The 22,980-nt window shown below is 50.0% G+C and overlaps 1 protein-coding gene across 16 annotated transcripts in view; it reads right to left on the bottom strand.

Annotated features, from left to right (window-relative positions):
* HIF3A (hypoxia inducible factor 3 subunit alpha) overlaps positions 1–4,881 on the bottom strand; it is a 46,392-nt gene extending 41,511 nt beyond the window's left edge. For 7 of the 16 annotated variants that reach the window (XM_017027132.2, XM_005259152.5, XM_047439216.1 and 4 more), the window contains exons 1-2: positions 4,821–4,881; positions 3,409–3,540 (exon numbers count right to left, since the gene is read on the bottom strand). In XM_017027132.2, coding sequence (XP_016882621.1) covers positions 3,409–3,540; positions 4,821–4,846 — 158 coding nt within the window. In that variant the 5' untranslated portion in view covers positions 4,847–4,881. Of the gene's footprint in view, positions 1–3,408; positions 3,548–4,820 lie in introns of those variants that run through there. The other 9 variants (XM_017027134.2, NM_152795.4, XM_017027140.2 and 6 more) reach the window with 2 other exon arrangements.

Genomic DNA, 22,980 nt, shown 5'->3' with positions numbered 1-22,980 from the left:
TTCTACATGTATTCATCCAATCCTCAGGGGACCCCTAGGAGGGAGCCATTTCATTTTTTATTTATTTTTTAATTTTTAATTTTTAATTTTTTTTTTTTTTTGAGACGGAGTTTCACTGTGTCAGCCAGGCTGGAGTATAATGGCACGATCTTGGCTCACTGCAGCCTCCGCCTGCCGGGTTCAATTCTCCTGCCTCAGCCTCCCGAGTAGCTGGGATTACAGACATCTGCCACCACGCCCGGCTAATTTTTGTATTTTTAGTAGAGACGGGGTTTCGCTATGTTGGCCAGGCTGCTCTCGAACTCTTGACCTCAAGTGATCTGCCCACCTCAGCCTCCCAAAGTGCTGGGATTACAGGCGTGAGCCACCATGCCCGGCGGAGGGGGGCATTTTAAACTTCCACTTTACAGTGGGGAAACAGCTTCTGAAAGGTGAAGTCCTTGCCCAAGAAGCCCCAAAGCCAACAACTGGCTGAGCTGGGATTTGAATCTGGGCGGTGAGTTTCCAGTCTTCAGGCTTTTTCTCATCCCCTCCTTGGGACCCATCCGAGGGAAGCAGAACCTCTAGGAGGGGACACTGTCCCTTCTTAAATTCAAGAGCAGAGGGTGCTTCTGGGGTGGCATCAACCCCAGCCTCAGGCAAGAGACCTGCGGCCCCACCCCCCAGGGCAAGGGGATATTTTCCTGTCTGGAGACAGAAGGAAAATAAAATCCTCAGTACAGCAGGGAGGGAGGCACAGAAGGGGGCAGTTTGGATGGAGGGTTGGAGCAGGGGAGATACGGCCCCTGTCCCCGTCCCCTCCTTCCTGGCTGGTGGGGGCAGGGGCCTCAGTCCTGCCTGCCTGAGAGGACATTCCGTCCTGTTCTGTTCCAGCCCTGTTTGTCTTCCTGCCCAGAGGGTGGGGGCGAGAGGGCCTCACGGAGCTGGGGGCCCGACAGGGAACAGGGAGTGGGAACTGGCAGGGAGGTGGGGCCAGTGCCCCACCTCCCAGGCAGCTGGGCTCTGTAATCCTCTGTGGCTGGGCTGCTTCTTCCATAGAAGGAGCCAGCTGGTGGCTGCGGAGGGACCCTCCTTCCAGCTCCCAGCCTGCCCTCTGGATGTTCTACTGGGAAGTGTGGGTCTTTCCCATTACACAGACTGGGGGCTAGTTCCTCTGGCTCAGGGTTCCAATCCTGACTCTACTACTTATCAACTCCACTACTTATAAGCTACTACTTACAAGCTCCACTACTTACAAGCTGTGTGACTGCTTATAAGCTGTGTGAACGTAATCTTGCTCTGTTGCCCAGGCTGGAGTGCAGTGGCTTGATCTTGGCTCACTGTCACCTCTGCCTCCCAGTTTCAAGCGATTCTCCTGCCTCAGCTTCCTGAGTAGCTGGGATTACAGGCTCCTGCCACCATGCCTGGGTAATTTTTGTATTTTTAGTAGAGACAGGGTTTCACTATGTTGGCCAGGCTGGTCTCGAACTCCTGACCTCAGGTGATCTGTCTGCCTCGGACTCCCAAAATGTTGGGATTACAGGCATGAGCCACCGCGCCCGGCCAAGGTTAGACTTACTGTTCTCCCTCTGTGCGTATCAGAGATGGAAAGCATGGGCTTAGGAGCTTCTTGGGCTTTACAGTAACCTGTGGATTACTCTACACGCCCCATAGTGTGGTGTGTGCATGCAATTACATACATGGTTTTTACACAAGCATCTTAAAAGGAGGATTAAATAACAGTGATACTGTAATAATGATAGCATTGGTGTGTTGAACACTCACGGAGCTAGAGAACCCATTAAGTCCTTACTACTACCCTATTGAGCAGGAGAAGTGATCTCTCCTTTTAAAGAGGCAGAAACTGAGATTTGGAGCAATGGCATCCCCAGCCCAAGTAACCCAGCGCCCTCCATTGACACTGAACTATGTTCAACCACTTCTCAGTGAATCCGACCATGTTCCTGCAATGACTTTCCCCATTTTCCGGATGAGGAAGCAGGCCCAAAGAGGTGATGAAACTGAAGCCACACAGCTTTTAGTAGCAGAGACAGGATTCAAGCCAGGTCTGTCTACTCTGACTTGAGCTCAGTTTGTGGCACACCTGTTGGGTGTCCCGCCCCCCACCGTCTGCTTCCTCACTACTGGCTCCTCATCTTGATCTGGGGTGGTGGAAAGGGAGTGTGATACCCAGTTTTCTTTTTTTTTTCTATTTTTCTATTTTTTTTTTTTTTGCGACAAGGTCCGGCTGTGTTGTCCAGGCTGGAGTGCAGTGGCCTGATCTTGGCTCATTACAACCTCTGCCTCAGGCTCAAGCCATCCTCCCACCTCAGCCTCCTGAGTAGCTGGGACTACAGACACTCACCACCATGCCTGGCTAATTTGCTTACTTCTAGTATAGATGAGATTTTGCCATGTTGCCCAGGCTGGTCTTGAACTCAAGCAATCCGCCCACCTCAGCCTCCCAAAGTGCTGGAATAACAGGCCTGAGCCACCGCACCCGGCCTGCCCGTATTTCCAGGATCTGAAAGTGAGGCTCAGAGCGGCAGTCACTGACACAATTCCACACCACCAGGAAGTGGGTGAGATGGGATTTGAACCCTGTCTTTGGGCCCTGTGCTCTTGGCAGGTGTGGCCCCCACCCAAGAGGCCCCTGCCCCACCCCTCTTTTGCCTAGCAGCCTCGGTCCCTTCCCCCGTCACACCCCTGCTGCCTCCAGATCGCCCCAGCTGGCCCCATGCCCAGCCCTGGTCCAGCCCCCTGGCACTCTGCCCAGCTTGGGACGTGCAGCTGGAACCCTGCCACCCTTCCTCCGTGTTCCAGCCAAGAACAGGGGGTGGGGCCAGGGCCTGGCGGGCTCAGGGTGAGGCCTGAGAATGGGGGTTGGGGCCCAGTGCCCCCCTCCAACCAGGAAGGAGAGAAGTTCACCTCTTCCCTGCCCTGAAGAATTTGCCACCCATGAGGAAGGCATAATAAAAGCAGGCAGTCCCTGCCCACATTCAGGGCTACTTCTGGGCTTTTCTATTCTGACACCCAGCTGGGTATTGGGGGGGGGCGTCTTACGAAAAGCACAGAGGATTTGGTGGGTGGGGGTTTAGGTTGTAGCTGGGCAAGGATGCCTTTTGGCATTGCAGAGAGGTGTCCTGAGAGACCAGAGGCAGGGTTTGGGTTTGCAAAGGGACTTGGCATGGGGGTCTGGGGGAGTCTCTCTGCCCCCCGACTCTGCCTGTTCTCAAGGACATGGTAATCTGGTAGGGTGCTGGTCCCCAAAATCCTATCTTCTCCGGGAATACTACCTCACTGGGCACTCTGGGCTGCAAGCCGTACCCACCAGGGACTTCCCAAGAGCATCCTTGGCCACAGTGGGATGGCAGCCAGCCCCAGCTAGAGGAAGGGAAGGGGGAAAGGAGGTGTTGGGGGCCCACTCACCATCGCCCAGGCCCCCGTTGGCTGAAGGGCCATCCAGGGGGTGCAGGAGGGGATGCGGTGCAGCCAGGACCCGGGTGCGAGTTACGAGTGGGTGCGCACGGCGGTGAGATGACTCCACAGGAAAGGGCCGGCCTTGGGTGGGGAGGGGGGGCACCCGAGCTCAGCCAAGAGGGGCCCCCACCCAGCCAGGAGGGGGCGCTGAGAGGGGCGGAACGACAGCTGGCCCAAAAGGGGTGGGATAGAGTTCCTTGTTAGGCCCAGAGCCAGGGCCTGGAATAGAGTAGGGGACAGGGGAGAGGATGGGGGCGGTTAGAAACATGGGGTGTGCATGGATCCAATCAGGCCTGAGAAGCCAGGGAGGAGGGAAGGGGGTGAGGCTTACTGGGTGCCTCACATTGGACAGGGAAAGCTGAGGACCTAGAACATTTTCCAGGGTCCCATGGGAACATGGCCAGATAAAACCCCCCGGCAGCGGCCCCAGGGCACAGGTTCCCCTGTGTTCCAGCAGAGCTGCACCTGCTGGGCAAGTGAACCCAGAAACCCACCCTCTGCCCGGGATGACCCCATCTGAGTACTGCGGCAGGGGGCGTTCCCATCACAGCCTGCAGGCTCACAGCACCCTGCCATGGAGTCTCCCCAAAATAAAGCTTGGATGAGGCTCCCCTGTCTCTCAGGATGGGGGTGCAGGGGTGAGATGAGGGGCTGGACTTTGGGAAGTGGGTCCAGCTTGTTTCCCTGTTATTTAAGGGGGTGACTCTGGCTTTTGAAAGGATACAAAAAGTCTCTTGGGAAGGGTCCCAGACGGCTTCTGAAAGGGGCTCCCCTCTGCCCATTTCTAGGGAAACCCAATGTTTAGGAGACTGTGTCAGGAAGCATACTATTAGAGGAGATCTCTCCTCTCTTGAACTCAGGAGCTGAATGCCATTCCAAGGGACTCCCTATATGTGGGAAGGCTCCATTTAGGGGTATCCCATATCACCTAGGATCCCAGGCACCTGGTGGCAAAGAATACCCTCAATTTTGGGGGGTTCAGAGGCCAGAGGGATCAATATGTGGAGGGCGAATATCTCCCGCAGAAGCCTGGGGACTGCTCAAATGCAATCACCCCTAATTTATCAGGAATCCCAAGTTCCACCCCCAACCAGGAGGGTAAATGAGCCTTGGGTAGCGAGAAATCGGGAACCCCGAAGCCGCTCTTGGCCAGAGGGGCGGGGCAGCCAGAGACGTAGGGAATCCCCCACCCCTGCAGTCCCTAAGGGTGGAGAGTGCGGTGGGGATGTGCCTCCAACTGCGCGCCCCGGGGCGTTCTTGGCTCGCACCCGCGAACCCCACCCCCCCCAACAATCCAGCTCAGGGGTCTCCAGGAGGAGAGCCCCCCAATTCCCAGAACTCCTGCCCCCGAACTTCAGTACCTTGCGCGCTGCAGCCCCAGCGCCATGGCTCGCCAGTCGCCGCTCCGGAGCCCTCGGAGGCCCCTAGCCCCCTCCCCGGCCTTGCGAGCCCCCTCCCCAGCTCCTCCCCACGCCGCGCGGTTGGCTGTGCCACGCCAGGCCTGAGGCTCTGATTGGGCAACGGTATGTCACTCCTGAAAAGGAGGCGGAACCAGAGGGAAAGACTTGGAAAGGCAAGGGGGGGATACCGTGTAATACACACCCCCCAACCACGCCCCTCGCCGCGGACTTCCTCGGCAGTGTATCCCGCACCGTCGGCTGAACGCGCCTTCTCTAGTCCAGCCTCTGAAGTGCCAACGCCAGTACTCTTCTGAACCCACTCAGTTCACTCTGCTCTCTGGACCCCAGTCCCCAGCCTCTAACCCCCACCTCTTCTCACCTTTCCATTTCCTAACCCCAGTTGAGCCCCTCTGACCTCCAATCCCACCCCTTCCAAACCCCTAGCCCTGCCTTCTCTATCCCTTCTAAGGTATTCACAGAGTACCCCACATCTCCTCCCCACCCCCCAACTCCCAACCCCACCCCAGTTCCACAATCCTTGGCCCTCTGGCACCTACCCTTCTCTCTCTCTCCCCAGCCCCTCCCTGCCACCCCAGTCCCATACCCCACTTCGCCCCCATTCCTCCAGTCTGCACCCTCTGCACCCCAGCTTACCTTCCCTACCCCCTCTACTCCACCCTAACCTCTTGGCCTCTCTGACTCCCTTTTCAGGTTCCCATTGATGAATAATTAAGCTTATGTCAAGTAAATATGTTTTAACTCAATCACACCTACTTCAAAAAAGAGCCGAGAAATGTATTTTTTTTTAACTAGTCGACTATGAAGGGAGAAGTACAAAGGTACCAAGCAAGGGTGAAAGCATTACAGTTGGATAAGGAACAGAGTGTGTGTGTGTGTGTGTGTGTGTGTGTGTGTTGGACCACTATTCTGGATTTGGTTGGCAGGGAAGAGGATACTACAGCAGAAGTGGCCTTGTTGAACCTTGAACTTGCCAGGCAAGTTGCTCACCTTAGGGCCTTTGCACTTGCTGTTCCCACAGCTTAGCACACTCTTCCTCCAGGAATCCACACGGCTCCCCGGCTCACGCCAGTTCCCCACTCTGTTTTCTTTTGGGAAACCACTTCTCTGTCCTCTTCATCTATTTAATTTGAATAGGGCTTGGCCACTGCTCTGCCTTCACCAGCTCCAGGGATGGACATAGGATCCAAACCTGGCTAATCAGTTGAGTCTGCTTCCCTGGCCACAGTGATTGGTTCAGGGAAGGCATGTTACCTAATTTAGCCCAATGAGAATCAACCCTGAGACATTTGCTGAAACCATTAGGAAAGAGGATTTTCTATGTCTGCTGGAATTGCTGGGCAGATGGAGCAGATGGGGCTCACACTGCCACAAAGAGAGGAGAGGCTTTATGAGATGAGGTTCAGTGCAAAAGAGATTGTGCAGAAATGAACGATTGTGAAAGGCAGTTTTGACACCAGCACTTGAGTGCCTGGATCCAGCCATACCTGAACTCCAGTTTAATTCTTGGATTTTTCAAATGAAACCCACAATGGGCTTTTTTTTTTTTTTTTTTTTTTTTTTGCTGTTGCTTTTGTCAAATATTGCTTCATTCACTATTGCCTTATTTGCTTTGTGCTTAGATTCGTTTGAATGGATTTTAGATACTTGCACCCAAAAGAATCTTGATAGAGAAATCAGCTTTCAACCCTCAGTGTAGAGGCAGGTGGGATGTTAGAAAAGGAGCAGTCTGAATTATAAAGGGGGGCCGGCCATGGTGGCTCACGACTGTAATCCCAGCACTTTGGGAGGCTGAGGCGGGCAGATCACCTGAGGTCAGGAGTTCAAGACCAGCCTGGCCAACATGGTGAAACCCCATCTCTACTAAAAATACAAAAATTAGCCGGGTGTGGTGGCACACCCTTGTAATCCCAGCTACTCGGGAGGCTGAGGCAGGAGAATCGCTTGAACCCAGGAGGCAGAGGTTGCAGTGAGCCAAGATCATGCCATTGCACTCCAGCCTGAGTGACAGAGTAAGACTCTGTCTCTAAATAAATAAATAAATAAATAAATAGTAGAAGGGGCTGCAGAGGAAGCATTGTTCTTAGAGCTTCTTAGGGTTTAGGTAAGGACATGGGGTAGAAGAGATGTTCAAGGGAGAAACTGAGGAAGGGGAGTGGTTGTTAACAAGACAACGAGAGTTCCAGTGGGTGTGTTGGAAGAGTTTGGAGGGGGCAGTAGTTGGATGATAGATTCAGTGGAAGAACTCATTGATTTTGGTATGAGGGAGTCACAGCAGAGAGCCAATCGGAGGGATTTACAGTGCCCAAGAAAAGCTGGCACTATTTCAACAAACATTAAAATAGAACTAACACTTTACACACAGAGATGCAACAGGTGTCTCTCTACGATGTAGGTTAGCGTTAAACTTCGCTCAGAGGTTCCCAGCAGCTAAGGCAATAAGGGAAATGTGTCCGTTAAAATGATTTCCAACTTTTGCTAAAGGATATGTTCTTGTTTGAAGAGACAAGTTTTGTACCTGGAACTGAAGTTAAGTGGGAATTTAAGACCTTTTAATATTAAATTGTAGAGTGGTCTGAACTGCCAGGAACTGTGGGAGCTTGGTGGAAGCACCTTACCCACCCTGTCGGGGCTGTCAGAAAGGTTTATTGTGGAAGGGGCATTTGGATGCAGACTTAAGAAGGAATAACAGTGAGGCAAGCAGAGAGAGGGTTGGGGACAGCCGAGTGCAGTGGCTCTCAACTGTAATCTCAATGACTCAGGAGGCTGAAGGGGGAGGATCGTTTGAGGCCAGGAGTTTGAGACCAGCCTGGGCAACATAGCAAGATCCCATCTCTTAATTTTTATTTTATTTATGTATGTATTTATTTATTTTTTGAGACTGAGTGTTGCTCTTGTCGCCTAGGCTGGAGTTCATTGGTGCGATTTGGCTCACTGCAACCTCTGCCTCCCAGGTTCAAGCAATTCTCCTGCCTTGGCCTCCTTAGTAGCTGGGATTACAGGCATCTGACATCACGCCTGGCTAATTTTTGTATTTTTAGTAGAGATGGGGTTTCACCATGTTGGCCAAAATGGTCTCAAAATCCAGACCTCAGGTGATCCGCCCATCTCAACCTCCCAAAGAGCTGGGATTAGAGGCATGAGCCACTGCACCCGGCCTCTATCTCTTTTTTTTTTTTTTTTTTTTTTTTTTTGAGACGGAGTCTCGCTCTGTCGCCCAGGCTGGACTGCGGACTGCAGTGGCGAAATCTCGGCTCACTGCAAGCTCCGCTTCCCGGGTTCACGCCATTCTCCTGCCTCAGCCTCCCGAGTAGCTGGGACTACAGGCGCCCGCTACCGCGCCCGGCTAATTTTTTGTATTTTTAGTAGAGACGGGGTTTCACCTTGTTAGCCAGGATGGTCTCGATCTCCTGACCTCATGATCCACCTGCCTCGGCCTCCCAAAGTGCTGGGATTACAGGCGTGAGCCACCGCGCCCGGCCCGGCCTCTATCTCTTAATTTTTTTTTTTAACTTTGCCAGGCATGGTGATGTGCACCTATAGTCCCAGTTACTTGGGAGGCTGAGACGGGAGGATTGCTTGAGCCCAGGAGCTGGAGGCTGCAATGAGCTATGATTGTGCCACTGCACTCCAGTCTGGGCAACAGAGTGAGACCTCATCTGTAAAATAAATAAATACATGAATGAGAGGGCTGGGGGAAAAGTATTGTAGGCAAAGGGAAGATAATACAACAGTTTGGAGGCAAAAGAGAGCTTGGCACATTGAGGGAACTGACAGGTAGACAGTGGTTGCAGCCTGGATTATAAAGAGAGGAGATGGGAAGTGATGGTGGAGGGGTGCATCGGGGTGAGATCAAACCAAGTCTGAAAGCCATTAAAGAATCTCGGGCATTCCCCAGGGAGCACTGGGGAGCCATGGCCGAGTTTTGAGCAGGACAGAACACAACATGTGCCTGATAAGGATTCCTCTGGGAGCTGGGTGTGGTAGTTCACACTTGTAATCCCAGGTTTGGGAGGCCAAGGCAGGAGGATTGCTTGAGGCCAGGAGTTTGAGACAAGCCTGAGCAACATAGTGAGAGCCCATCTCTTTAAAAAATTTAAAAATTAGCTGGGCATGGTGGCATGCACCTGTAGTCTCAGCTACTCAGGAGGCTCAGGGAAGAGGATTGATTGAATCCAGGAAGTTGAGGCTGCAGTGAGCTATGATCCTGCCATTTACTCCAGCCTGGGTGACAGAGACCCTGTATTAAAAAACAAAACAAAACGAAACAAAACAAAACAAAATCCTCTGGAAGGTGGATGACAGGGAGTGAGATTAGAGATCAGAGAGCAAGAAGGAGGCTGGGCTGGAGTGGAGACCTGGGTGTAAAGAAGAGATGCCTGGGCCAGGGAAGGGGCCATGGAGATGAAGGAAAGGGGGTGGATTGAAGAGATATTGAGGTTCATCATTAGTAGAATGGATAAGCAAATTGTGGTATGCCCATGCAGTGAATACTATCAGCAACAAAAAAAAAATGAAGTATTGATACACATATATCATGGATGACTCTCAAAAACCTTATGATGAACGAAAGAAGCTAGACACAGTAAAGAATGTATTATGCAATTTCACTTAAATGAAATTCCAGAACAAGTAAGGCTCATGTATAGTGGAAAAAACATCAGGGGAGTGCTTCTTTATCTTGACAGAAGTTTGCGTTATACGGGTATATGAATTTGTCAAAACTCAGTGAATGGCACACTTCAGATTTGCACATCTTGTATGTAAACTTTACTTCAAAATAGAAAATAAAGAATGGTAAACAAATACCGATAGACACTCTGAAGGACTTAGGGGGCAGTGTACTGGTGTCTGCAACTTTCACTGAACTGCATCAAAATTAAGCTGGAGGGATGGATGGATGGATGGATGGATGGATGGATGGATGGATGGATGAATGGATGGAGTAATGGATGGATGGAGAGATGAATGGATGGAGGGATGGATGGAGGGATGGATAAATGGATGGATGGATGGTTGGGTGGATGGATGGTGTGATGGATGGATGGATGGATGGGTGGTGTAATGGATGGAAGGAGAGATGAATGGATGGAGTAATGGATGGATGGATGGAGTAATGGGTGGATGGAAGAATGGAGGGATGGAGGGATGGATGGAGGGATGGATAAATGTATAGAAATATAATTAAGCAAAGACAGTAAAATGTTTAGAGTGGAGTCTAGGTGATTGGGGTAAAGGTGTTCATTGTAAAATCCTTCAACTTTTCTGCATGCCTGCAATTGCTCATAATAAAATGTTGGAAGAAACAAGAAATGTTTAGGAGGCAAGAGGGACATGGTTTGGAGAGTGATTGATTAGTTGGTTGATCATCTGGTTGTGGAGATAAGATTTTTTTTTTTAAGTATCTTCTGCCTTTGGCAAATGGAAGCCTTCATGTTTTTAGGGTGAGTTGGGCTCTTTTCCTGTTACCCTCCTCTTTCCTTTCCCTTGGATCTATTCTTCCAACAATATATGCACCCATTAATCCATTCATTCCTTCCATTTATACCAACAAATATTCACAGAGTGGTGAACATATGCCTGGCACTGTTGTAGGCACTGGGGATACAGCAGTGACCAAGACAGATAGAGATCCCTCACCTGCCCTCATGGAACTTACACTCTAGTTGGGCAGACAGATTATACACAAGAAACATAAGTGAAATATGCAATCCATTAGATTATGCTAAGTGCTCTGCAGAAATGGAACCCAGGGAATAAGGATGGGAGTGATTTATTTTGTGGGGAGGGAGGGGGAGTTGTAATTTTAAATAGTGTGGTCATGGAAGGGCTTATTGAGAAGATGACATTTGAGCAAAGACCTGATCATGAGGTGGGAGCTATATAGAGTTCTGGGGGAAGAGCCTTCTGAGCTGGGAGAACAGCAAGTGCAAAGGCCCTGAGGTGGGACTTGCTTCGTAAGTTTAAGAATCAGCAAGGAGGCCAGTGTGGCTGGAGCAGAGGGGTGGATGGGGAGAGTGGGATAAGAGGTCAGAGAGTCAATGTTGACAGGAAACCGTGGTATTGGCAGATCATGTAGGAAGGATCTTTTAGATTAAGTATAGACTTCGGCTTTTACTCTGAAGGAGATGGGAACATGGGAGGCTTTTAAGCAGGAAAGCAACATCTGAGTTAGGTGTTTTTTGTTTGTTTGTTTGTTTTCTGACAGAGTCTCACTCTGTTGCCCAGGCTGGAGTGCTGTGGTTCAATCTTGGCTCACTGCAACTTCCACCTCCCCGGTTCAAGCAATTCTCCTGTCTCAGCCTCTCGAGTAGCTGGGACTACAGGTGTGCACCATCACACCCAGCTAATTTTTTTGTATTTTTTATAGAGATGGGGTTTTGCCATGTTGGCCAGGCTGGTCTCAAACTCCTGACCTCAAGTGATCCAACTGCCTTGGCCTTGCAAAGTGCTGGGATTACAGGCATGAGCCACTGTGCCCGGCCTGAGTTAGGTTTTAAAGAAGGGAAAAGTCTTCAACTAGGAAAGAGCTGGAACTTCCCTAGTTTACAAACCACCCCAGTGAAAAGATTTGCTTTGCTTACAGATCTGCAATCTGGGCAGGGCTCAGCAGGTATGGCTCATCTTTGCTGCACTTGACACCCCTTGGGGTGGCTTAAAAGGCTGTGGACTGGAATGATCTGAAGCTTTCTCACTCACCTGTCTGGCAGTTGATGCTGCCTATCAGCTGGGACCTCACCTGGGCCCTGTGGCTGGAACTTCTACTTGTGACCTTTCCCTGTGGCTGCTTGGGCTTCCTCATATCATGGCAGCTAGGTCCCAGAGGCCAGTGGTGGGGAAGGGGTAGGGAGAGGGAGGCTGAGAGAGAGAAGGGAAGGGAAGGGAAAGGACAAGAAAAAGCCGTGTCTGCTTTTATGACTTAGCCTTGGAAGTCACACAGGCATATAGTGTCACTTCTGCACCCCCCCAACCCTTTTTTTCCCCTCTGTCAAGGCAATCACAAAGTTCTGCCCAGCTTCAAGAAAAGGAAAATACTCTGCCTTTTGATGGGAGGGGCAAGCTACCACAAGGGAGAGCATGTGAGACTCAAAATATTACTGTGACCATTTCCAGGAAATGTCAACTGCCACACTCTTCATAGCACCGTATCTAGCTATGAAGCACAATATCTAGCTAGGTCCCATAGCCCCTGGGACCTAGCTGCCATGATGTGAGGAAGCCCAAGGAGCCACATGGAAAGGTGATAAGTAGATGTTCCAGCCGCAGGTGCCAGGTGAGCTCCACCTATGAGTGGCAGCCTGGAGGTGGAGTCATAGGCCTTGGGATACTGGGGAATAAATGCTTGTCTTATTGACAGGGAAAGAGGGTTCAGCAACAAAAACTCAGACCTGTGCATGAACCCAGTTCTGATAAGCCAGTGTTGCTGGCCATGGTCTCCTGCACATCTTCATGGATATTCTACTTACCATCAGGTCTGGTTATCTTTATTGGGTATGACTCACATCCTATTGGCCACAGGAAGTCACATGACCAACCCTGACCTCAGTGGGTCAGGGAATGTATTTGACATACTCAAGAAGACATGTAAAGTCACATGGTACAGTCATGGATGTATAATTCTATAACAAGTAGGAAGGGTGAGTTCACTTCTGTTGACTCATCCTCCCTACTGCTCAAGGCTGGGGAGAATTGCTCCTGACCTATTCATAGCTACCTCTTGTGATCGGATTTTATCTCCAGTCTCCCCTTGCCCAACTCTGACTCCTAACAAGGTCCTTGGATTTAAAAAGTCCAGCTGCCACCCCTGGAACACTGCCAGGGGCAGAAAATCCCTCCAAACCCAAGCCAAGGCCAACCCAGAATCAGGTGATGGAAATAAACAGCACCAGTTCCAAGCATGATGCACAGATCCTGTGCCAAGCGCTGTCCTGAGCCCTTGGCATTCCTGTTCACATTGGAATGTCACAGCAGCCCCATTAAGTGGGCTCCAATGTTTTCCTATAGTGGACTCTGGAGCCAGGCTGCCTGCATTCTAATCCCATCATTTACCAGCTGCAGAACCTTGAACAAATTACTTAACCTCTCTGTGACTCATAGAGTTAGTTCCGTCCGTCCGTCTGTCCGTCCCTCCCTCCCTCCCTCCCTCCCTTCCTCTCCTTCTCTCTCTGTCTCTCTTCCTTCCCTTCCCCTTCCCTTCCTTCCTTCCTCCTTCCTTCATTTCTTTTTTTTTTTTTTTTTTGAGATGGAGTCTCACTCTGTTGCCCAGTCTGGAGTGCAATGGCAATCTCAGCTCACTACAACCTCTGCCTCCCATATTCAAGTAATTCTCGTGCCTCAGCCTCCCGAGTAGCCGGGATTACAGGTGTGCGCCACTATGTCCGGCTAATTTTTGTATTTTTAGTAGAGACGGGGTTTCACCATGTTAGCCAGGCTGGTCTCGAACTCCTGACCTCAGGTGATCTGCCTGCCTTGGCCTCCCAAAGTGCTGGGATTACAGGTGTGAGCCACTGCATCTGGCTTATTTCCTTCTTTTGAGAGAGGATCTTGCTCTGTCGCCCAGGCTGGAGTACTGTAGCATGAACACAGCTCACTGCAGCCTTGACCAGGGCTCAAGTGATCCTCCTGCCTCAGCTTCCTGAGTAGCTGGGACCACAGGCGCAGACCACCACACCCAGCTAATTTTTAAAATTATTTGTAGAGACAGGGTCTTGCCATGTTGCCCAGGCTGGTCTGGACCTCCTGGTCTCAAGCGATCCTCCCATCTCAGCTCCCAGAGTGCTAGGATTACAGGCGTAAGTCATTTCTTTTTCTTTTTTTGGAGACAGAGTTTCGCTCTTGTTACCCAGGCTGGAGTGCAGTGCTGTGATCTCGGCTTACTGCAACCTCTGCCTCCTGGGTTCAAGCGATTCTCCTGCCTCAACCTCCCGAGTAGCTGGGATTACAGGCATGCCCCACCATGCCCCGCTAATTTTGTATTTTTAGTAGAGATGGGGTTTCTCCATGTTGGTCAGGCTGGTCTCGAACTCCCAACCTCAGGCGATCCGCCTGCCTCGGCCTCACCAAAGTGCTGGGATCACAGGCGTGAGCCACCGCATCTGACCGAGTCATTTCTGAAAAGTTCATTTGATTAAAAAACAAAACAAAACAAAACAAAAACGCCCTCATGGTAGCTTGAATTATTGTTTCCAAATCTCCACTTCCTCCTTGTTATAGAATTATACATCCATGACTGTACCATGTGACTTTACAGGTCCTCTTGAGTATGTCAAATACATTCCCTGACTCACTGATGTCAGGCTTGGTCATGTGACTTCCTGTGGCCAATAGGATGTGAGTCTCACACAATAAAGACGAGACCTGATGTGTCTGCTGGTGGAAGGATGCAGACCTAGGAAGTATTTTCACCAAAATAATTGAACCTGAAATTATTCGGCTTCCACGTGTAACTACTGGTGTACAGGAAAGGCAGGGAACAGAGGAATATGTTAAACAATGCCATAAAGAAGAATCGATCATATATAGACTGGGGTAGACTATCACGGGTGCCCAAACTTTTGTCTTCCCTGGGCCACATTGGAAGCAGAAGAATTGTCTTGGATCTCACATAAAATACCCTAATGATAGGTGATCGCTTAAAAAAAAAAGGTCCATGGCTGGGCGTGGTGGCTCATGCCTGTAATCCCAGCATTTTGGGAGGCTGAGGCGGGCAGATCACCTGAGGTCAGGAGATGGAGACCATCTTGGCCAACATGGTGAAACCCTGTCTCTACTAAAATACAAAAAATTAGCCAGGCATGGTGGCGTGCACCTGTAGTCCCAGCTACTCGGGAGGTTGAGGGTTGAGGCAGGGGAATTGCTTGAACCCAGGAGATGGAGGTTGCATTGAGCTGAGATCACGGCACTGCACTTCAGCCTGGCGACAGAGCAAGACTCTGTCTCAAAAGGTCTGTGTATAATTTTCGTGATATCTACTACCACAGATAAGCAAAAAAGGAGGTGGTTGTATCACTTGAGACCAAGAGTTTGAGACCAGCCTGGCCAAGATGGAGAAACCCCGTCTCTACCAAAAATGCAAAAATTAGCTGGGTGTGGTGGCGCACGCCTGTGGTGGCAGCTACTCAGGAGGCTGAGCCAGGAGAGTCGCTTGAACCTGGGAGGCGGAGGTTGCAGTGAGCCAAGATCATGCCATTGCACTCCAGCCTGGGCCACAGAGTGAGACCCTGTCTCAAAAAACAGACAAATAAAAAAAAGATAAGCAGAAGAGTCAGTCCATTTAAAGGGTTGGACACCCATGCTAGACCATGCTGTCCAACAGAACTTTCTATGATGATGGAAATGATCTGTATCTAAATTGTTCATGTGGCTACTGAGCACCTGTAATGTGGTGAGTGTGACTGAGGAACTGAATTTTTTATTTTTTCAGGTAGCTCTTTAATATTATCATTTCGAGACAGCATCTCACTCTGTTGCCCAGGCTGGAGTGCAGTGGTGTGATCATGGCTCACTGCAGCCTTCACTGCCCAGGCTCAGGTGATTTTCCCACCTCAGCCTCCCACGTAGGTAGGACTACAGGTGCATGCCACAGGGCCTGGCTAATTTTTTAATTTTTATTTTGTAGAGATGGGGTCTCGCTGTGTTGTCCAGGATGGTCTTCAAATCCTGGCCTCCCACCTTGGTTTTCCAAAGCATTGGGATAACTGGCATGTGCCACCTCACCCAGCCCTGACACAGAACTTCTGAGCTTCGTTGGGTTTAAAGTTTCTCTCTTTTCTCCTCTGTTTTTTTTTTTTTTTTTTTTTTTCAGACGGAGTCTCACTGTATCGCCCAGGCTGGAGTGCAGTGGCGCGATCTTGGCTCACTGCAAGCTCCGCCTCCCGGGTTCACACCATTCTCCTGCCTCAGCCTCCCAAGTAGCTGGGACTACAGGCACCCACCACCATGCCCGGCTAATTTTTTGTATTTTTAGCAGAGACGGGGTTTCACCGTGTTAGCCAGGATGGTCTCAATCTCCTGACCTCGTGATCTGCCCGCCTCGGCCTCCCAAAGTGCTGGGACCACAGGCGTGAGCCACCGCGCCCGGCCTCCTCTGTTTTGATGATGAAAGGCTGTCTTACTTTCTTGTAGCTTGCTGAGCGCCTGCACTGGAAGGAGTTTGGTGGTGTGTCCCAGGAATCCAGGAATTGGGAGAGAGGGTTGTCCCATCATAACGAGGATGGGGCAGTGATTAAGAACATTAGTTTTTGAGTTTGAGAGACCTGGGTCAAATCCAGGCTCTGTCACTTACGTGGCATATGGCTTTGGGAAAGCTACATCCTGTCTTTATGACTCAGTTTTTCCCATCTGTATAGTGGGATCATTAGTTCTTACCCATAGAGACTGTGGTATGGATTAATTAGATCAGGCATGTGAGTGCTTATCACAGTGCCTGGCCCTCGTCTGTTCAAAGTATTTGTTGCCATTTATTCATTCATTCAAGCATTTAATTTTTTTATTAGATAGAGAAGATATCTCAGTATGTTGCCCAGGCTAGTCTCAAACTCCCAGACTTAAGTAATCTTCCCACCTTGGCCTCCCAAAGTGCTGGGATTACAGGTGTGAGACACTGCACACAGCCTCATTCTAGCATTTATTTATTTTTTTAGAGATGAAGTTTTGCTCTTGTTGCCCAGGTTGGAGTGCAATGGCCCTATCTCAGCTCATTGCAACCTCTGCCTCCCAGCTTCAAGGGATTCTCCTGCCTCAGCCTCCTGAGTAGCTGGGATTACAGGTGCCCGTCACCACGCCTGGCTAATTTTTGTATTTTTAGTAGACACGGGGTTTCACCATGTTGGCGAGGCTGGTCTCCAACTCCTGACCTCATGTGATCCACCCACCTCAGCCTTCCAAAATGCTGTGATTACAGGCATGAGCCACCAAGCCTGGCCCTCATTCAAGCGTTTATGATGCGTCTGTTCTCTGCCAGATACCGGGACACAACTTAATCAGAATGGCCTCAGCCCATCGAGGGGCTCCAGCCTGGAGGGTGGATGTATGGGGCTCAGATGGACACTTTCACACCGAGTGTAGATGCGTGTGCCCACATCTATATATGCCCATGCATGTGTCAATGGCACACAGGCAGGTGTCATGTCACTAGCTGCCATCAACACACAAGTCAGTATCCACCCATGTGAATTCTGACAACTACATGTGTCAGTACATGCCATCGTGTTAAGATCTGTGTCTTAGCCTTAGGCGTGCCTTGATAGTAGCATGGTTACCGATGACGGCACGTGGACGCATGTTGGTGCCGATAGTGACTGATACTGACACCTGTACACACTGGGGTTCTTTAAAGAAGAGCAGCTGCCTTTAATAAAATGTGAGTGCTGGGCTGGGTGTGGGCTCATGCCTGTAATCCCAGCACTTTGGGAGGCCGCAGCAGGTGGATCACAAGGTCAGGAGTTTGAGACCAGCCTGGCCAACATGGCGAAACCCTGTCTCTACTAAAAATACAAAAATTAGCCAGGGGTGGTGGTGTACACCTGTAATCCCTGCTACTTAGGAGGCTGAGGCAGGAGAATCACTTGAACCCGGGAGGCGGAGGCTGCAGTGAGCTGAGATCATGCCACTGCACTCCAGCCTGGGTGACAAGAGCAAAGAGCAAGACTCCGTCTCAAAAAACAGACAAACAAACAAACCTTGAATGCTGAACTCATGTTTATGGTCATCACATGCATGTACGCAAAGGTCTCGTATATGTCACGGTTCCCTGTGCAGATGCTGATGTCTACTTGATGCTGATGCAGGTGACTGCCCTGGACAGCGGTGTGACGGAGACTGTGGCCCTAGTCCCCTGCTGGTGGCCTCAGCGTCTCCCAGGAGGAGAAACTCTCTACAGACTCTGGGTGGCCAAGGGGCCCCTCCCAGGCCCTGCACCCTCACCTCTCCTGCAGGCACCTTTTTTAGGGCTCAGTGAGTAGCTCTTGGAAGCTGGGAGGTATTTGCAAACTTATGGAGCTTCCGGTAATTAGTGGCTGAAGCCAGGGACTCCAGGCATTGTGCGATGCACGCATAGCTCTGGCAAGGAGGGGTTTCCTGTATCCTGTTCAAGTCCTCTTGTACAGGAAGAATCTGTTAACAATCATGGCAGGCCATCTTAGATAGAAACAACAAGAACATTGCACCTTTTTTTTTTCCACTCTGTTGCTCAGGCTGGAGTGCAGTGGTGTGATCATGGCTCACTGCAGCCTCAAATTCCGGGGCTCAAGCAATCCTCCTGCCTCAGCCTCCAGAGTAGCTGGGGCCACAGACGCATGCCATCACACCAGGCTAATTTTTAAATTGTTTTTTTGTAAAGATGGGTTCTCACTATGTTGCCAAGGCTGGACTTAAAATTCTAGGCTCTGACTGGGCCTGATGGCTCATACCTGTCATCCCAGCACTTTGAGAGGGCGAAACAGGTGGATCGCTTGAGCCCAGGAGTTGGAGACCAGACTGCGCAACACGGCAAAACCCTGTCTCTACAAAAAATACAAAAATCAGCTGATAGGAAACAAGCATAAGAAGAAGAAGAAGAAAAAAAAATTAGCCAGGCATGGTGGTGCATGCCTGTAGTCCCAGCTACTCGAGAGGCTGAGGCCAGAGAATTGCTTGAACCTGGGAGGTGGAGATTGCAGTGAGCTGAGATCATGCCACTTTACTCCAGCCTGGTGACAGAGTGAGACTCTGTCTCAAAATAAATAAATAAATAAAATAGGCCGGGCGTGGTGACCCACACCTGTCATCTCAGCACTTTGGGAGGCCGAGGGGGGCAGATCACAAGGTCAGGAGTTTGAGACCAGACTGACCAACATAGTGAAACCCCATCTCTACTAAAAATACAAAAAATTAGCCTGGCGTGGTGCTGCGCTCCTGTAGTCTGCACCTGTAGTTCTCAAATAAATAAATAGAAATAAATAAATCACCTTTTCTGCTGTCTTAAGGAAAGAAAATAAACAAAGCTACTAGGTTTAAGCAACCCTCCTGCCTCAGCCTTCCAAATGCTGGGATTACCAGGTGTGAGCTACTGTGCCTGGCTGCAGCATTTTATTTTATTTTATTTTACTTTATTTGATTTTATTTAGATTAGAGATGGAGTCTTGCTCTGTTGCCCAGGCTGGAGTGCAGTGGCGCGATATGGGCTCACTGCAACCTCTGCCTCCTGGGTTCCAGTGATTGTTGTGCCTCAGCCTCCTCAGTAGCCGGGATTACAGGCGCCCGCCACCATGCCCGGCTAATTTTTTTTTTTTTTTAAGTAGAGATGGGGTTTCACCATGTTGGCCAGGCTGGTCTCGAACTCCTGACCCCAAGTGATCCGCCTGCCTCGGCCTCCCAAAATGCCGGGATTACAGGCGTGAGCCACTGCGCCTGGCCTGTAGCATTTTAACTCACTCTGACTTTTCTGGGAAAGCAACTGTTACACATGGATCAAAGGAACGTAGCACCCTCTTTCGGGCAGAAGCTGATATTGGGAAAGTTCTCCACTTCAGAGAATTGTATGGCCCACGTCTACCCCTCTCATGGTATTTGAATCTCAGATGATCTATGCTGATCACTCAGCCTTGGCTTCTGCCGTAGTCTACATAGACATAGGAACGCTCTTATTTAGTTCTTATTTCAAAATGTTGACTCTAAAGAAAAACAGACTTTTGACTGAATATTGTCTTATTCACCTTAAATACAAACTTTTAATTCATCAAAAGAAGGGATATCTGACTCTGTATGTCTGTGAGCAGAATTGCATTCAAGCTTTGACCTGGCAGGACACCTCTTATCTATGAGAAATGAGAGGCTCACCCTTCATCAGCCACAATTCCGGCCAGGTGTGATGGCTCACGCTTGTAATCCCAGCACTATGGGAGGCTAAGGTGGGTGAATCAACTGAAGTTGGGAGTTTGAGACCAGCCTGGCCAACGTGGTGAAACCCTGTCTCTACTAATAATATGACATTTAGCCGGGTACGGTGGTGCGTGCCTGTAGTCTCAGCTACTCAGGAGGCTGAGGCAAGAGAATCGCTTGAGCCTGGGAGGTGGAGGTTGCAGTGAGCCAAGATCACGCCACTGCACTCCAGGCTGGGCGACAGAGCGAGACTCCGTCTTAACAAAACAAAACAAACACCCCCCCATCCACACACAATTCCAACTTCCAAATAACTCTGAAAAGGTAGAGATTGTTGTATAACTTATTTGGTGGCAAAACTTGACCTGAACTAACACAAGGCTATTTTGGCAATCTTCTATATTTACTCCACGTTTCTGTGAATAGCCCTCATTTCATTGCATAAATGTTGATGTGTTTGATTCCAGGAACTATCCTGAACCCAGTTGGGGCGTTACATTATATGTGCCATAGACATGTGGTACTTTTTTTTTTTTTTTTTTTAATGGAGTCTCACTCTCTCGCCCAGGCTGGAGTGCAGTGGCGCAGTGTGATCATGGCTCATTGCAGCCTCAACCTCCTGGGTCAAGTGATCCTCTTACCTCAGCCTCCTCCGTAGCTGGGACTACAGGTGCACGCCACGACGTCCAGCTAATTTTTAAAATTGTTTGTAGACACAGGGTCTTGCTCTGTTACCCAGCCTGGTCTCCAACTCCTGAGCTCAAGCAATCTTCCCACTTCAGCGTCCCAAAGTGGTGGGATTACAGGTGTGAGCCACTGTGCCCGGCCGATATGTCACTTAAAAAATCCAAACATGACTGGGGGCGGTGGCTCACACCTGTAATCCCAGCACTTTGGGACACTAAAGTGGAAAGACTGCTTGAGGCCAAGGGTTCAGGACCAGCCTGGGCAACATAGTGAGACCCCCATCTCTATCAAGGATGAAAAAATTAGCCGGTGTGGTGGCCTACACAGCATAGTCCAGCTGCTCGGGAGGCTGAGGTGGGAGGATCGTTTGAGTCCAGGAGTTTGAGGCTGCAGTGAGCCACAATTGCACCACTGCACTCCAGTTTGAGCAACAGAGTGTGGACCTGCCTCAAAATAATACTAATAATAGTAATCATAATAATAAAATTAAGGAGTTCTGAGACCATCATTTGGGAGCTGCTGGCAGCTAAGCCCTAACTAAGCCTGACACGCCCTCTCGTGGCAGAAATTAGGATGACTCTGATACTATACTTACATATGAGGGTCACATTGGCTACATATTTTAGTAGCCTGATTTCTTTTTCTTTCTCCTTTTTTTTTTTTGAGACGGAGTCTCGCTCTGTTGCCCAGGCTGGAGTGCAGTGGCGCGATCTTGGCTCACGGCAGCCTCTGCCTCCCAGTTTCAAGTGATTCTCCTGCCTCAGTCTCCAAAGTAGCTGGGACTACAGGCGGGTGCCACCACACCCAGCAAATTTTTTTTTTTTTTTGAGACAGAGGTTCGTTCTTTGTTGCCCAGGCTGGAGTGCAATGATGCCATCTCGGCTCACCGCAACCTCCGCCTCCTGGGTTCAAGTGATTCTCCTGCCTCAACCTCCCGAATAGCTGGGATTACAGACATGCGCCACCATGCCCGGCTAATTTTGTATTTTTAATGGAGACGGGGTTTCTCCATGTTGGTCAGGCTGGTCTCGAACTCCTGACCTCAAGTGATCCGCCCACCTTGGCCTCCCAAAGTGCTGAGATTACAGGTGTGAGCCACCACACCCAGCACCAGTAGCTAGATTTTACATACTAATATCTCCAATTCATTGAAAGATTATGTGCCAGAAACTGTTTTAAACATTTCACATCACATAATTTAAAGTTCTTTTAGACAAGGTCTCACTCTGTCTCCCAGGATGGAGGGCAGTGATGCAATTTCGGCTCACTGCAGCCTTGATCTCCTGGGCTCAAACAATCCTCCTGCCTCAGCCTCCTGAGTAGCTGGGACCACAGGCATATGCCACCACACCTGGCTAATTTTTACTTTGTCTTTTTGTAGAGACAGGGTCTCACTATGTTGCCCAGGCTGGTCTCGAACTCCTGGGCTCAAGTGATACTCTTGCCTCAGCCTACCAAAGTGCTACAGGTGTGAGCTACTGCACCTGGCCTGGCCTTTATGGTTTTAACCCGGGTTTCCGTTATCCTCAATATGATTACTTATTGGATCAATCTCTTGGATCAGCTTGGCTCCTACAGGGAGCAGATGCTGAGAGAAAGGTGGGAGTTGTCTCAGTTCTTCTCATGAGATGTATTTATTTATTTATTTTGACACGGAGTCTAGCTCCAGGCTGAGTGCAGTGGCATGATCTCAGCTCACTGCAACCTCTGTCTCCTGGGTTCAAGCGATTTTCCTGCCTGAGCATCCCGAGCGGCTGGGATTACAGGTGCGTGCCACCACGCCTGGATAATTTTTGTATTTTTAGTAGCGACGGGGCTTTGCCATGTTGGCCAGGCTGGTCTCGAACTCCTGACCTCAGGAGTGATCCACCCACCTCGGCCTCCCAAAGTGCTGGGATTACAGACATAAGCCACTGCACCCGGCCTTTATGAGATTTAATCTTCTGGAAGTGACTGAGTGACAACATGAAGTTGATGCCTTTGAAAGAATTGATTACCTACACTTCCTGAGAGACGGGCGCATGCCATGCCATGCAGGGGAAAGCACCAGGTTCGGTCAGCAGGTGGGAGAGAGAGGGAAAGCCTAGGCCAGGGCCTTTATTGCGGTTTCCATGGGAAAGGCAAGGCAGGGAAGGGGAAACAGCTCAGGATTGGCCGCTTTGAATGATGTCAGAGACTCAAGAATGCGCGGCTGGTCTTCAGTGGTCCAGTACCTGGCCCTGAGTGATTCAGGCAGATTGATGTGTGAGGGTCAGATAGAGGAGGTGGCTGGGGTATGAACTGGGGATGGAATGGAGGGTTTGTAATATGATTTTTGTATGCCTGTAAAGGATTTCGGGGGAGATGTTAACCACTTTGGCTGTGTAGGGGCAAAGAGGGAACACATCCTCAGTCACCCTCTGAAGGTTCACTGAAAATGAAGTGACAAAAGGCAGACTAGTAGAAGAAGGCAGCATATAAATGTATTTTTAACATGCATTGCCCAGGGGACTCACAGGAGACTGATTACCCAATAACCCAATGGGGTACAGATACTTCTTAGCCTTTTTCATAGGGG

The sequence above is a fragment of the Homo sapiens genome, chromosome 19, assembly GCF_000001405.40.
Source record: "Homo sapiens chromosome 19, GRCh38.p14 Primary Assembly".
NCBI classification, from domain to species: domain Eukaryota; kingdom Metazoa; phylum Chordata; class Mammalia; order Primates; family Hominidae; genus Homo; species Homo sapiens.
Note: the sequence above shows the minus strand (reverse complement) of the source record. Positions and strands in the feature narration are given on the sequence as shown.